This window comes from Homo sapiens, chromosome 14 (genome assembly GCF_000001405.40).
Source record: "Homo sapiens chromosome 14, GRCh38.p14 Primary Assembly".
NCBI classification, from domain to species: Eukaryota; Metazoa; Chordata; class Mammalia; order Primates; family Hominidae; genus Homo; species Homo sapiens.
Window position 1 is genome coordinate 76,380,675 of NC_000014.9, and position 15,443 is coordinate 76,396,117.

At 48.4% G+C, this 15,443-nt stretch overlaps 1 protein-coding gene across 8 annotated transcripts in view, besides 2 other annotated features; it reads left to right on the forward strand.

Annotated features, from left to right (window-relative positions):
• ESRRB (estrogen related receptor beta) overlaps positions 1–15,443 on the forward strand; it is a 191,061-nt gene that overhangs the window by 69,898 nt on the left and 105,720 nt on the right. The gene's annotated exons all lie outside the window — the stretch shown is intronic.
• Positions 5,827–6,327: an enhancer, noted in NCBI's record as "H3K27ac hESC enhancer chr14:76852844-76853344 (GRCh37/hg19 assembly coordinates)". NCBI's record gives its function as "activates a minimal SCP1, AML or CMV promoter by ChIP-STARR-seq in primed H9 embryonic stem cells {active_cell/tissue: H9 hESC(primed)}" and the evidence as "EXISTENCE:reporter gene assay evidence [ECO:0000049][PMID:30033119]".
• Positions 6,527–6,626: a silencer, noted in NCBI's record as "silent region_5956". NCBI's record gives its function as "represses an Ori minimal core promoter by ATAC-STARR-seq in GM12878 lymphoblastoid cells {active_cell/tissue: GM12878}" and the evidence as "EXISTENCE:reporter gene assay evidence [ECO:0000049][PMID:35858748]".

Below are 15,443 nucleotides of genomic sequence, written 5' to 3' on the forward strand. Positions count from 1 at the left end.
AGGATGCCGCACAGCTCCCCTGGGAGCTTCTGTCGTAGAGTCTGGTGGCTCTTGACTGAATGTTACTGGGGTGGGGAGCCCCAGCTTGACTTGAATGTTCAACCTCTGGGGTCCTCCAGTGACACTACAGCCCCTAGAGGTGCTGCCAGTGCAGGGTCTAAGGAAGGACCCCAGGAAGCCAGGAGAGTACAAATTAAGAATGGGCTGGAACTAGCCAAATCTGGCCCGGAATCTTCCTGAACATCCTGCCTGTTTGCCCTTGAAGGCTTTCACCGATTTCTAGAGATAAATCAAAGACGTTTTTAGCATGTATGCACTGGTGACCCCTGATTGGTCTCTGTCTCTGGTGAGTTTCCCCTTCCTCAGCCCCAGCAGCCTTAGACCTCTGGGGACAGTCACAGACATGGTCTTCCCTCAGAGGAGAGGCCCATAGGCTTTGGGTGGCCCTGATGTCCCCTGTCCCCTGGCATGGGTGGGGTGGGATTATATCCTTTTAGCCCCGTCAGCTGGTATGGCTTCGTCCCTGCGCGGGGAGGTTGTGGTGTTTATAATTGCAAATGTAATTAGCAGACCAGCTCTGGGGGACTGGGAGGCTCAACTTCTCTGCACTTCACGGTGACCCCTGTAATGGCTGGCCCGGCAGATTAACCCTCACCGGGCCAGCCTGCCTCCTGCCACTGGTGAGGCTGCTGACCTTCTCTAATAATGGCAGGGCTGTCCTGGGACCAGACACCTTCCGTGGAGGGGTTGTCAGGGCAATGACTGGGAGAGATCCGTAGTTGGGAGGATTTTTTCTTCCCCAGGGCACTGGGCTAGTGACCTTTGCCTCTTGAGACACTGTCACCCTGGGCAGCAGGCTGTGCTGGGCCATTTCTTCTCTCGTGTTCCTGGCCATACTGGAAGGATGTGACGGAAGGACTGTGAGTGCATGCTGGTCAGTTCTGTGGCTCTAAAGGGACTCATTGTGACTTCCATCTGGTGCTCCTGGGCTCAGCGGGCAGTAGCTTGTATTCACCCATCTCATCAGCTTCTTCTCAGAGCCAGCTTTGGGGAGGTGACTGTTCGCTGGCTCCTGGACTCTGAGCAGGTGTTCCACAGAGCTGGACTGCTTTGGGTAGGGAGCCTGGTCATAGGAGAGCACAGGCTCAATTTGTTTCTGAGAACAGAGACCTCACCAGTTAACCATCCAACAAAAGGACACAAAAACACCAGACAAGTGGGGAACATGGAGCTGCACGGTCTTTTCCCTCCCTCCTATGAGTGTACTTGTATTTGCCTCTCTAAGGTGCCCTTCTGTACTGATCAGGATTAATATCATCAAGGGTCCTAACAGGACCTTTCTTTATAAGTCATTGCTTAACAGAGTGTCAAGCCCTTCTGTGCTGCCAATAAAGCCCCTGTTGTAGAGGATGTTTCTGAACCTCGAAACATCAAAAGCCGTGTCCACCCCAAGAGAGTTTCCACCGTGGGAAACCTGTGTGTGCACATGTGTGAATGTGTTCCGGTGGGTAGTCCCCTTTAAGATGGGGTGACAGTGGACAGGGGTCTCTGCTATTTAAACATGTTCCTGCTGACTGCTATACCCCTTGGCTGGGCTGAGGTCTGGCTGTGACCACATTCCAGCAGGGGCTGCCGTGCCTTGGGATTGGTTCGTCCATGGTGCAAAGGGGACTGCAGGGGCACCTGCTAGGTGGCTGTCCCTCTGGTTTGCCCAGAGGATTTCAGTCTTAAGAGCCTCTCTGCAATTTTCTGGCCTGGGTAGGGGTGGGGCAGACCCCAGAGAGGGAGAGAAGGAAGTCCTGCCCTTCTCCAGGATAACAGATGGCCACACTCAGAGGAGAATTTGGGCCATTCTGTTCCAGGTTCCCGACTTCCCCTTCTCTCCCTGGAAATAGCCATTGACAGGTTGTGGCTTAAAGAGTCAACTCTTTTCTTAAATCAAGGAAAATCATACTGGTTAATCAGCCCATGGGATGTTCACTATGGAGTTGGACTAGGTGGAAAAAAATTATTGGCCAAATGTTTTAAATTCAGAATTGTCTGAGTTTGAGTTAAAATTGTATAAATCTAAAACAAAAGTTTTCCTGGGGCTCAGAGATAGAATTTTTTCATTTCATTTTGCTGTGCTTTTAAACCTATACACATTTTGGTCTGAAAGTTTCTTTTTTAAAAAAAAAATGTCTTTCCTTTGTTCCTTAGGACTTTAAAATACTCTATTCAATATTGTCATTCAGCATCCCCGGGACTGAACCTTTTCAGGGAATGGTTTTCTGGAAAATTTTATTATATTTCTCAATGTCATTTCATTCAGAGGTCAGAAGGCAGTTAAACAAACTCCAACAAGCCTTTGTTTTTATCTTCTGATTTCAAATGTGATCAATTTTTATTTAAAATCGTATCAGAGACCTCTCCTACCAATTATAGGGGCAGTCAGCCTTGTGCCTGACCATTGGTGTTTACCAAAATCCTGCATTTAAAACTGTACGAATGTGAAGTGTCAAATTGAATTCAATCTTTTCTATCAAGGAAACGATGAGTTTAAAAACCCCAAATACCAAATGTGGTTTTAACTTGGTTCTTTTATTTTTAATGGCTTGAATTGGCTTGAGTTCATAAATTAGTTTTTATGTTTTATTCTTTTTGTTAATTCATTTTGAAATTTTTATTGGTTTTTTTTTTGGCATTTTCATCTGGCTTATGCTTTAAAAATGATGCCTGATAAAGGGTCTTTGAGAATCATTGGCCTTTTGATGTGTTCTTGGTTTCTGAAGGGCAAAGAACAAGGAAATACAGGTGTAAGGAAATGCTATAGGAGAGGATGGAAGGGGTGAAGAAGCGTGATCTTTTAGATGAGATTTCTCTCGTGTTTTACAATTTAGCATTTTCCTTTGTCTTCATTTTTTCCCCTCTATTTTTATTCCAGCTTGCTGTAGTTTGCCCTTGTCCTTTTGTCCCTCCTTGACTGTTTTGGAGGAAGGAGTGTAGGTGTGTGGTCTGCCTGAGTGTGAGTGTGTGTGTGTCTGTATGGCTGGCTGAGCTGTTCAGAGGTGCTGAGCATGATTAGTTGGGTAAAGTCCCAAAGCAGAATGCCTATAATTGGCCCCCCTGTTCTGATTCAGCCATCAATACCTTTATTCATGGCCGCTGGCTGGCTCACGTTTTGGTGAAAAAAACAAGAAGGGTGTAGACCTGCTGTTTACAGACAAATTTCAGGTGGTCTGTTTGTTATCTGAGGCGCGTGGTGATAGGGGCTGCAGGTATGGGTGAGGATATGAAGAAGCACTAAACTTTATGCAAAACCAATTTTTAAATCCCTCCCCTCATCTCACCGCCTATGCTTGGAACCCTAGTTTGGGATCTTGGTGATGCACAGTAAATGAGCTGTTGTATGCTTTTGTTTTTGTCTTCCTAATCGATCAGCAGAAAACATTTCCTTTTGATGGTGAAACAGGACTTCAGCATGCAGAGCGCAGTATTTATCCTCTTACTTTTAGCTTCACTCTTTGTCATTTGTCTCTTGGGTTTGTTGACATTGTCTACCTAAGCAGTCAAGCTAACAAGCTTTGGCAGAAAGAACACTGCTTTTACAGAAATAGTAGCAATTTTAATGTGATGGTTATAATAATTGTGATTACAGTAATCACAGCTTGTACCTTTTTCTTCCCAAAAAGCGCAAAGCAATTCTCGTAACCATTTTTCTCATAGTAGCTGGATGAGGGTGACCGTTTCTTGCTCCCAAACATAAATATCTTCGTGCAAACATAAACATGCAAAGGCTGCAGGTTTGCGTGTCTGAATTCACCCAGGAGCAAAAACTGCCTGGTCTCTGAATACGAACAGGCAGGTAGAGGAGAATACGGTGTTAACCACCTGGCCCCCCTGAGAAAAGCTGGGTGCTTTGCCTTTGAACGAAGATGGGAGAAGTGTTTCTTGTAAGTGATGCTGTGCCAAGTTTGACCCCACTACTGCCGGCTTCTATGCCCCGTGCCATGCTCTGCCTCCCAGTTTCCCCTTGCTCCTTGGTTCCTCTGGCTGCATTCTCATGACAGGTTTGCAGACCAAAGGCACAGAGAGGACAAGGGGGGGTTATGACTTGGCGCATGTGAATATCTGGGAGAAGAACTGTGTGAAGAGAGAGGCAAAGTCATCTCTCCACCCTTGATCGCCTTCTTGGCCATTTGGCTTCTATGAGGCCGTTGTCCCTGCTCCTGAGTACCTCAACCTGCACTATGGAGGTGATTAGAGGGAGGTCATCAGGGAACTGACCTCTCTGAATTTCCATGTCCCTTCTTGTGATGCTTCATGGCGACTCCCAGACCTGAAGCCTGCTCACCTACAGACCATGCTCATCTGTGCGTTACTTTAGAATCCATCAATGCTTCTGTTATTTCCTCTCTCATTTCCTTTTTTGTATATGTATCGTGGAACGAAGAAGCAGCTCTGCTTCACCTAATATTCCAGGGTCCCATAGCTGTCTGTATTTTTTTTCCATCTCAATATTCTTATTCATGTTCTTACTCATAGTTTCTTTTCCTCAGGAAAAAAAAAAAAAAACAACCAAACCTCAAAGCTTTGGATTATTAATTGATTATTAACTGATTTTACAAACAAATCATTCCACCCCCAAGGAATGCAAGCAAGACTCTGGCTGTGCTGCTTAGGTTGAGATCTGCTTTCCCCCTCAATCGGTGAGAAATTTTATATCTTCAATTCCCTTGTTGGACCCTGAGTAAAAAATTAATTCATGAATAATAAAAACCAATCAGTCTTGTTGAGTTTAAGAAGGATTAGGAGAAAGGGTGTTTTTTCTTACAGAGAACATTTGGAATCTGTGTGTCACTGTCACCGAGTGTTTGGGGGTGGCTTGAGCGATGCCTTTATTCATGGCAAATGAGCTGTTGATTATCCTGAGTATAACACATCTTCCTCAGTTGTTAAGGCCAGCTTACTGCTGACTGTTACGGGGTTCCTACCCACTGCTCTCCCACCATCCCGTACTCCAAGCCAGTGATAATTCACTGAAATTAAGACAGTTTCCTGTGTAAGTGGCATATAACCAAATAGCAACTGACCTGGCCTTTGCATTATGAATAAGCCCATTTGTTGATGGGATGGAGTCCTTCTTGGTTTCCCTCCCCTTTCTTTCTCAGGAAGTAATTGACCAGAAATTTACATGCTTTTCCCAGAACTACAGAAATTAGATGTGTAGATTCTCTTTTCAGTTTCCACTAATAGTATCTACCTCCCAGGGTTGTTTTGAAGATTTAGTCAGAGGACAAGCACCAGGCATATAGTAGGTGTGCATTAAATGTCCAGTGTTATTAATTTTTTGATGTTATCTTTGGGGCATTACTTTTTATTCCTTTGACATAATCTCACAATTATAGTCTTCCCTACAGTGAGACTGGGGTGCTTGAACTGACTACTTTGTTTAATGTGATCAATATGGCTCGCGTGTCAATATGTAACACAAGGGGATTAAAGAAGGAATTACAGTTTGGGATGGAGAGGATGAATAGGAAATTTTCCTCTGAACGAATCCCTATATTTTCAGTAGGGCTGTCCAGTAAAATACAGGATACCCAGTTAAATGTGAATTTTACATAAATGTGAGTATCTTTTTTTGTATAAGTAAATCCTATGCAATGCTTGTTAAATCTGGCAACCCTATCTACCCATGACTGTTTTTCTTAAAATAGTCTGATAAGAAACACATTGCTCTTATTTTTTTTCTGCTTTTGACCAAGCCCGAAAGATTAATTCTAGGTTCGGTTTTTTAATTTTTTTTTTTTTTTTTTTTGCGACAGAGTCTCACTCTGTCACCCAGTCTGGAGTGCAGTGACACGATCTCGGCTCACTGTAACCTCTGCCTCCCGGGTTCAAGCGATTCTCCTGCCTCAGCCTCCTGAGTAGCTGGGACTACAGGTGTGTGCCACCACACCTGGGTACTAATTATTTTGTATTTTTAGTAGAGACGGGGTTTCACCATGTTGGCCAGGTTGGTCTCAAACTCCTGACTTCAGGTGATCTGCCTGCCTCTGCCTCCAAATGACCATCTTTAACATTTTACCAATATGAATGTGTTAGGCTGGCCGTGCCCTTAGATATGGCAGTGGGTAAGTTCCCTCGACCAGATATATTGATAGAGTTACAATTAAGTAAATAAATCTGCTGAATGAGGTCTCCTAACAGCACCCAGGGCTACTGAATTTTGCCTTAGGGAGGAACAGGGTAAGTCAAGTCTTTTTGGGAACCTGTCTGTGCCTGATGTTTCCCTGACAAACGGGTTGGGGTGCTGGACTGCCAGAACCTGAGACCCCAGAAACTGGAAGTTACCCTTGCCCCACCCTGGAGGCCAAAGCAGCAGCTCTCCCTACCTCCCCACACAAGGACAGGAGGCTGACCCTTGTGAGGGTCTCCCAGGAGGCTGAGGGGAAGCAGCCCAAATCAGTGTTAGGTGGTGGATCAGGGAGGGTTAGGACTCCAAACCTGAAGCAGAGCTAGTTGAGAGCATGGATGAACCGGGTCTCGCCAACAGGGTACCAGCGGACCCCAGCTTCCCCTCATTCACCTCTCAGAACAGCACAGTCGCACAGCCTTGGTAAACACAACCATTGTTTTAAGCCTGATGCCCTCACAGCCCCGGGTACGGGGAATGGAAGAGCTCTAGAGCCCCCTACAGGCACTCACTGGCACTGCACCCCATGGGTGACAGTTCTGCAACAGAGCCTTCCCTTGGTGGGGTGTATGGAGAATCCCAGGGGGTGAGCCTTCAGAAGCTCAGGGGTGAGCTCAGGACCCTGGCTTTAGAAAGCAGCTCTGGTTTTCACCTTTCCGAGCCCTGCTCCATGCAATTTAGCACTGCAGCTGCCTTGTAGTGTGGTATTCCTCCCAAGCCCCACCATGCATGCATGCACACCTACACACCACACACTCACTGCCTCCGTGGCTTGCCTGACCTCCAGACGGGCTGGAAAGTGCTCAGGTCTGATTCAGTTTGAGGAATGACCTCCAGCTGCTGAATATGCAGAAGCCGTGCAGCCAGCACCATTTTCAGAGCCAGATACTGGTGTTCAGATGCTCTTCTCCAAGCCACCTAATTCTCTGGGGAATCATTTTAGGATTTGATGTAAGAAAAGTGTCTGAGGGGGGATAGGAGAGCTAAATATAAAGTGTAAGGCCAGAGATGGGCGATTGTAATAGTAATAGTTGTAGTAATTGACATTTATTGAGCATTTACTGTGTGTCAGGCTTTGTCCTAAGAATATTTCATGTATGAAATCATCACTTCCTCACAACAATCCTAGGAAGTAGGTATTATTATCATCCCCCATTTCACAGGTAAAGAAACTGAGGTACAGAGACGTTAAGTCATTTGCCCAAGGTCACACAGCTGACAAAGCTGGGATTTGCACAGAGGCTGTCTGGGTGTGTGCCTGCACTCCTCACCCCGATGTTATGTGTCGCTCATTGCATCTAGAATTTCAGCTTTCTTTCATTCTTTTTTTTTTTTTTTTTTTTTGAGATGGAGTCTCACTCTGTGGCCCAGGCTGGAGTGCAGTGGCGCAATCTCGGCTCACTGCGCGCTCTGCCTCCCAGGTTCACGCCGTTCTCCTGCCTCGGCCTCCCAAGTAGCTGGGACTATAGGCGCCTGCCACCATGCCTGGCTAATTTTTTGTATTTTTAGTAGAGAAGGGGCTTCACTGTTCATCCTGTTAGCCAGGATGGTTCTGATCTCCTGACCTCGTGATCCATCTGCCTCAGCCTCCCAAAGTGCTGGGATTACAGGCGTGAGCCACTGCACCCGGCCTAGAATTTCAGCTTTCTAACTCCTGCCTTCAGAACACCTTGTGTAGATCTAACACTTGGGCAAAGTTTAAGGTGGTGGTGGAGGGGGAAAAGACCAAGACCCATGTCTTGGTTCTGAAAAAAATAAGGTGGAAGAATTGCTGCACAGAGTCAGACCTCTCATCCCCCAGGTCAGCTTCCATCCTTGTCCTCGGCACAGGAGAAAGCTGTAGGAAGGAACTTTTGGTCTTCCTGACATCATCGTCCAAGGGCCCATGCCCAGCCTCTGGAGGCCACTCAGTGGTTTGACCCCCTCCATGCCTCTCCTAGAGTCTATCATAAACATATTTTGAAGCCGACTTCCCTCTTCTCAGCTTGCATTTTCTCCTGTTCCTTGCCTTCCCATCATTCTCTTATCGCCCATTCTCCAACAGCTCCCAAGTCTGAGTCTCAGTGCCCTACCTTGGTGCCCGTCTTGGATTCCCGCAGGCACCACACAGCAGCACGTGCAAAATCAAAGACAGCATCACACTCTAAACCTGCTTATCCTCATGTCTCTTTAGGCAGGCACCCCCCACCAAGCCAAGATATGGAGCGTATCTTCAGTTCTTCCCTCCTGCTCTTCATTGTTGAGTCCCCTCCTACATCTGGAAAACTTTTACCTATGTATACACCTCAGATCTAGTCATTCTTGTATTGCTTCCCCCAACCCTGGTCTGCTTAGCAAACTTCTATTTATCCTTTAAAACCCTGCTCAGGTATCCCCCTCTGTGTGGAGGCATCCCTGACTTCTCCCTGGGGGAATTAGTCTTTCTCCTTGCAGCTGTTCTCTGTCTCATGCCCCTGACTGGTTTACAATCTGTTGGATTTGAATATTTGCTTATTTTTTCTCCTAGATCATGAGGTCCTAGAGTCCAAGGTCATCTCTGTGTCCCCAGTGACACAGAGTGGGTGTTTAATAAATGTTGGTTGAGCTAACCTGAGGGGATTGGAAGTAGTTAAAGGGGAGCCCTTGGGGGAAAAGAGGCAGAAAGAAGGGCCTGGGAAGAGGTAACCAGGAGAGCACTGGTTCTGCCACATTTTTGCCCTGGTTGAGCCATGGAGGCAGCTCTGGCTTGGGGAGCATTATATCCTTCTGGGAGGCAATGCAGTGTTGGGGTTAAGAGGGAAAACCCTAGCTCCAGACTAACTGAATTGAAATCCTGGTCCCAATGGTGTGCTGGAACCAGCTCAAACCAGCTCAGGAGAGCTCACTGTTAAATATTCAGCAGTTTTGTGGGCTGATGGTCAAACACAATCATTATTAAAAATTAAATGGTATAAACTTATAATTAAATACATTGTATTAAAAACAAAGGTAATAGATACCACTCCTCACTTCCTCATATCTTAGTACATTTCACTTTACGTTCTTGCCATCAATTTACACCTAATGTATGGTGGAAAAACCATGCGATGCTGAGCTGCTGCCTGTCTCTTCCCAAGCCTGCATTCCATGATGACACACTGGTAGTTTGAGAACAGCCATGATGGGAGTATTTACACCACGGAAATTGGCAAATGCTACAGATCCGCCGTCCCCCAGCTGGCCATTAAACATTTATTACCACACCACTGCACTGGCTCCGTCACATCCCAGCTCTGTGACCCCAGATAAATGACTCAATCTCTCTGTATCTCAGATTCCTCTTCTGCTGTGATCTTCCACGTTAGATTGCTGTAAAGATTAAAAGTTGATAAACATGGCTGAGTGCGGTGGCTCACGCCTGTAATCCCAGCACTTTGGGAGGCTGAGGTGGGCAGATCATTTGAGGTCAGCAGTTTGAGACCAGCCTGGCCAACATGGTGAAACCCCATCTCTATTAAAAATACAAAAATCAGCCAGGCGTGGTGGTGGGCACCTGTAATCCCACCTCCTTGGGAGGCTGAGGCAGGAGGATCACTTGAACCCAGGAGGTGGAGATTGCAATGAGCCAAGATTGCGCCACTGCACTCCAGCCTGGAAAATAAAGCAAGACTCAGTCTCAAAAAAACAAAAACAAACAAACAAAAAAAGATAAATATAAGGTACTTATAGCAGAAACTAGTACACAGTAGGTGCTCAATAAATATTAGTTCTTTTTAGTATTTCTTCTCATTGCTCCAGTGATGCCCCTATCCAAATTCTACGGAAACAGATGACGTGCCAGGTAGAGGAATGTAAGTTTTATTTCTAGAGCATAAGGTTCATGTCCTTTCCCTACAGGACCCCTGTGCGTAGGGTTTAACTTGAGGAGCTAAGTGCGGGAAGTAAAAACCATGAATTTTCCAAGGGGAAAGGCGCTGATGGAGAGGTATGCTGAAGCCTCCAGGCCATGAGAGGATTGTGCCCCAGGCCCTTTGAGGAAATGAGGCCACAGCAGCACATGGTTGAACAGGTGAGGCAGGCACAGGTGAGGTCAGGAGAGGAATGAAGCAGATGCCAAGAACAGCCAAGCTGCAGCATGAAGGGAGGCTCTGTGTGTGGCTGCAGCGGGGCCCCAGGACCTTGCGAGGAGGCAGCTGCCCTCTCTGGAAATGCTGGGCTGTGCGGTCATGCCCATGAAAGCAAGGGCTCCTCTGGCTTTGGAAGTGGAGAAAATATTCCTGGCCAATCCCGAGTTGGATCACACAGTTGAGGTTACATTGGCTGCATTGTGGTTTCTTGGGATGCTACAGGAAAGCGGGAAGGTAAGATTTGGTCTGCAGCCTCCAGGACAGCAGAGGCCAGGAAAGAGCAAGAGTGCGTTTGGGCTTTTCTAGACTCCTCCGTGGCAGGTTTCCTGGGTCCCAGCCAACCCAGGCCCCTGGAATGAGGATTCACACTTAATCTCTCTGTTACCTGGAAATTGCTTCAGGTTCAGACCTTTGCCATCAGGAGGGGCAGTTCAGTGACTCAGATACACACAGTTCCCAGCCCAGCCCTTTTCCGATGGCAAGTGCACTACAAGCCCACAGACCGCTGGCAATGCGTACATCTGCATGCTGTACAGGCCAGAAGCTGCAGCTCATTGCTGGGGTCTGCTTCTGTTCTTTGAATCCCTGGTCTGTAGACAAATGCCCTTTGGAGCGGCCTTGCCGAGGAGAAGGCAGCGTTGAGAGTGAAGCCCTTCCTTCCCACCTCACTATGGGAGTCTTTCACTTTACCCTGAGCTCCTCAAGGGCCCATCTGGTTCTGATTCGTCTGCAGCACAGAGTCAGTCATGGAGGAGCCTTCAGTAAATGTGAGGTAGAAGTTTAGATACATTTTGAGAAAATTTGTGCTTTGGGGTGCACCACTAGTGGGTTACCTGTTCAGTTGTACAGGTTGTTCACTGTCCAAGAGTGCCTGGTTGAGGAGGTGGGTGGGGTCTGAACTTAGTTTTTCTAATTCACAACAAGCCACACATAGCTGGGGCATGGGGGTGAGTATCCAAGGGGTTGAGGGCCTAGAGGGGCCTGAGGAACCACCTTGCCAGGCTCCAACTCATTCATTGGGAGCAACTTCCTGTCTAACCTGTGTCTGGATTCTCTGAAGAACTCTGTGTTTCTTTCTGCTGGCAACATCCCTGCAGCCTGCATTTAGAGCCGGATAGCTCTTCGAAGGCTTTCTGTTCTGTGTAACTGCAGTACTTAGCGGGTCCCCCATGGCTCTCAGCAGGCCCCGGGGCAGGGAGGGGCCTCCAGGCGCTGCCCTGGCTGCTGATATTTCAAGATGCCAGTGGAAGCAGAGACACTGCGGCCCTGTGTTCCCAGAGTCAAGGTGCAGGGTGGCGTGTGGGTATGAGTAAGCCAGCAGCCCTGGCAGGCAGGGGCATATCCGAGAAACAGTGTCACAGGGTTCCTGGGCTCTAAGGGCCTCTGTGAGTAGATTTTTGGGAGTGCTAGAATTTATCAACTTGGAGGGGAAGGAAGCTGCTGTTTTAGCATTTGATGCCTTTAATCTTTACAGTAATACCTACGTAGGGAGTCCTGTCCCCCGTTTACAGAGGTCCAGAGGAGCTGAGTGACTGCCCAAGGTGGCGCAGTGGATCCACTTGAAGAGCCAGGATGCATGTCCAAGTCTGTCTGCCTGAAACAGCTCAGAATTCCAGGGGCCCAGAAAACCCACTGTTTCTATCACAGATCTCTGTCTTGCCAGGCCCACCCTCCTGATGTTTTCCCCAACACATTAATGTGGTCTCAGGCAGAACTACTCAGCTGACCCTGGGCTCAGGAAAGGGGAGCGCAGACCCTGAGACAGGCATGTGGCTCGGGGGCTGCCACCAGGGCCTCATCCCAGTATGGCTGTGGAGAGGGTCAGGACATCTGGAAGAGCCAGTGTTGGGATCTGTTCATGCTGTGCCAAGAGAAGTGCTTCCATTTGCCAAGAAAGAATGAGGAAGAGGGAAGGGCAGGCCCACCTCCTTGCTGCTCCCTGGGTCAGTAGCCCTGGGTGGCCACTGGCCTTCACAGAGAAGAGCCACTTGGGGGTGGTCCACATGTGTGAGCTGGAACCCAGGGCCTGTGGCCAGCCCTGGGAGGGCCTCTGTGCGGGCATGTGGGGCAGGGAGGCACTGGAGGCCAGTTTCCTGTGCAAAGCCTTTGGGGCATAGCGGATCTGGGGCATAGCAGAGAAGGAGGCCTGCTTTGGTCTGTAAGGTGCTGTAGCCAGGATCTAACACACCTGGACTTGGGTTTGTGGGTTTATCTCCCTTGTGTATTCTTTGACCACCCAGCTCCATGCCTGGCCAGCAGAGTTCTCGCAGGAGACCCTGTAGGCTTGTTGTGAGGCCATAGTTGGAAACCTGATGGGCCCTCCCTAGAGACCTATTGCCTGGAGAAGTGCTCCCTCCGTAGCTCCAGTAGACGCCCCTACTTGCAGTCTTGCCCACCACCTTGCTCTCAACACTCCTCTCCATGCCCTGCAGCCTCCTAAGACTTTCCTCTGTGCCAGCTACTTTTGCATGGCAACAATAGTAATAAAAATAGTTACATATGGTCAGGCAATGGATCTGTTTTTTGGTCTATAAGTGTATTTTATGTTAAAAATTTTACATTTTATGACTTCAAGACTTTGCATGAAATACCTTTACTGCAAAGAAGAAAACATTACCTGGGATCAGAGCAGTCACAGAACACAGAGGCCCCTGGCAGTCAGGAGAGAGGTCCCCTGGTCGGTGCCCAGGTGGAGAGTGTGGCCAGGTGCCGGCAACTGCAAGTGTTTCCAAGCAGGTGCCCATGTCCAGCAGATGCCTGCAAGACTTGAATCAGAGGCACTGTTCTGAGGGCGGAAGGACCTGGGGTCCCCAGGCTGGCCGAGGCAAGGGACTCCACGGCTGCTGTCTTCTCAGTAAGAACACCTTGGATTCTTTTTTTTGAGACAGAGTCTCGTTCTGTCACCCAGGCTGGAGTGCAGTGGCACGAGCTCAGCACACTGCAAACTTCACCTCCCAGGTTCAAGCGAATCTCCTGCCTCAGCCTCCCAAGTAGCTGGGATTACAGGCATGCACCAACATGCCTGGCTAATTTTTTTTTTTTTTTTTTTTGTATTTTTAGTAGAGTTTCACCACACTGGCCAGGCTGGTCTGACCTCAGGTGATCTACCCTCCTCAGCCTCCCAAAATGCTGGTATTACAGGCGTGAGCCACCGTGCCCAGCCTAGAACACTTTGGATTCTAATTTTAGTACTTCCAGCTCCTGGCCATGTGGATGAGATCAGAGATTGTGCCTGTGTCAGGTAGACTTGGCCACTCCAGGCAAAACCAGCTTCTCTTTGATGCTGGGCTCTTTTCTTTTCCCCCATCCTTCTTTCTTTCTAGCCCTGTTTCCCTGCCTCTGTCGTTCTAGGCCAGTTTCCCTCTATTTTTCTCTTTGCTGATGCTCACGACAATAGTAATATTTGCTAACATCTTCTGACTGCCCACTATGAGCCAGGCGCTGTGCAAAGTGCATCTTGTGGCTACTCATATGTTTTGCCTCCTTCCCTCTTTCTGGGCCTTTTGTACTGAAGATTCACCTGGTATCCCTTGAGCACCTCATGTGGCTGGTACTCTCCTCCCCAAAGAGGATGCAGCCTTGTGGGGGCTGGGAGGGAGCCTCATTTGCTCCAGCGCCCTCATTTTACAGAAGAGAAAACTGAGGGCTTGAGCTGATGAGGGCCTTGGCTACAGTTCTGCAGCTTGGGTGCAGAAGGAAAGCCAGGGCTTGGCCTCTTGACCTTTACCCAGAGCTGTCTTGCATCTTGTGGATGCAAATTGTTTGCTGTCAGCTGCGTTGAGGGCCTCTTTGACCTTGGGGTTCTGAGTACCTAAATGGTGAGCCTCGGGCCAGGCAGTGCAGATCAGTGATGTCACTGTGCCAGTGTCACTGCATACCCACCTCAGGCTGGGCAGGGCGAGGAGACTGCAGGAGCCACGCAGAGCCAGAGGATGGCTGGACGGACTGACATGAACCATTCCCATGTAAGAAAATTAAAAGATAAAAATAATTTTGATAGAGGGAAAACTGGTAGGAGGGAAGATGAGCTGGCCGTCTGGGCGAGGTGGCCTCCTTCACAGGTTTTGCTGCCATCATCTCCCTATGTGGGCCCACTTCTCTCCCCGGGCCATCCCTGTAGGCTCTTCTTTGCCCTTGGTGACCTCAGTAGGAGCTCTCCGTTTCCGACAGTCAGCCCCTCGCCCAGTGGGAGGAGGAGATAGAGAGGTAAGAGCTACCTGAGAATTAAGCCATGTGCACTATCTGGCTCATGCTGGTCTTCCCGGGGCCTCATTCCATGGCTGGCATAGAAATATGAATGCATCGTCCTGCTGTCAGGCAGCATCCCAGCTACTCCAGCCTGTGTCCAAGGTCAGTACCTAACTGGCCATCCCTGCTCCGAGGTCACTTGAGGGTCTGGCAATATTACCATGGATCTGAACACCACTGGCTCCCCGGGGGCTGCAGCGGGGCGTGTGGAGGAAGGAGTCCCTCCGGACTCACGGCCCACACTAGAAGAACATAAAGGAATAGACAGCCCCTGTGTGGTGCAGCAGAGCAAGCAGGACCTTTGATGTCAGACAGGTATGAATTCAGCTGACAACTCAACTCTCCCTTGGTGTGTACCCTGGGGCAAGTCACCTAACCTCCCTGTGCACGCTGGCCTCATCTGAAAAGTGGGAATAAGAATCCTTCTCTTATAGGGTTGCAGAAGAATTTAATAAAATAATGCTTGCAAAATGCTTTTATGCAGGGTACTGTCAGCCTCACAAACCAGAGATGCCCCAAGCATTCTCTGTAAACACGGCTATGACCATTCAAAAGAAAATTATAAATTCATTTTAAAGTATTATTTAATTAGGAGTTATTATATATTTTTCCACCTAATAAAGACTAAAAGTACCAAGATTATGATACTTGGTACTTGGGGTGGGGGGCGGGGTTGAGAAATGCTTTGGCATTAAAAAGAGGCCTTCAGCCGGGCATGGTGGCTGACGCCTGTAATCTCAGCACTTTGGGAAGCTGAGGCAAGTGGACCACAAGGCCAAGAGTTCGATACAATTCTGGCCAACATGGTGAAAGCCCGTCTTTACTAAAAATACAAAAACTAGCTGGGCATGGTGGTGCGTGCCTGTAGTCCCAGCTACTCGGGAGGCTGAGGCAGGAGAATCGCTTGATCCCAGGAGGCAGAGGTTGCAGTG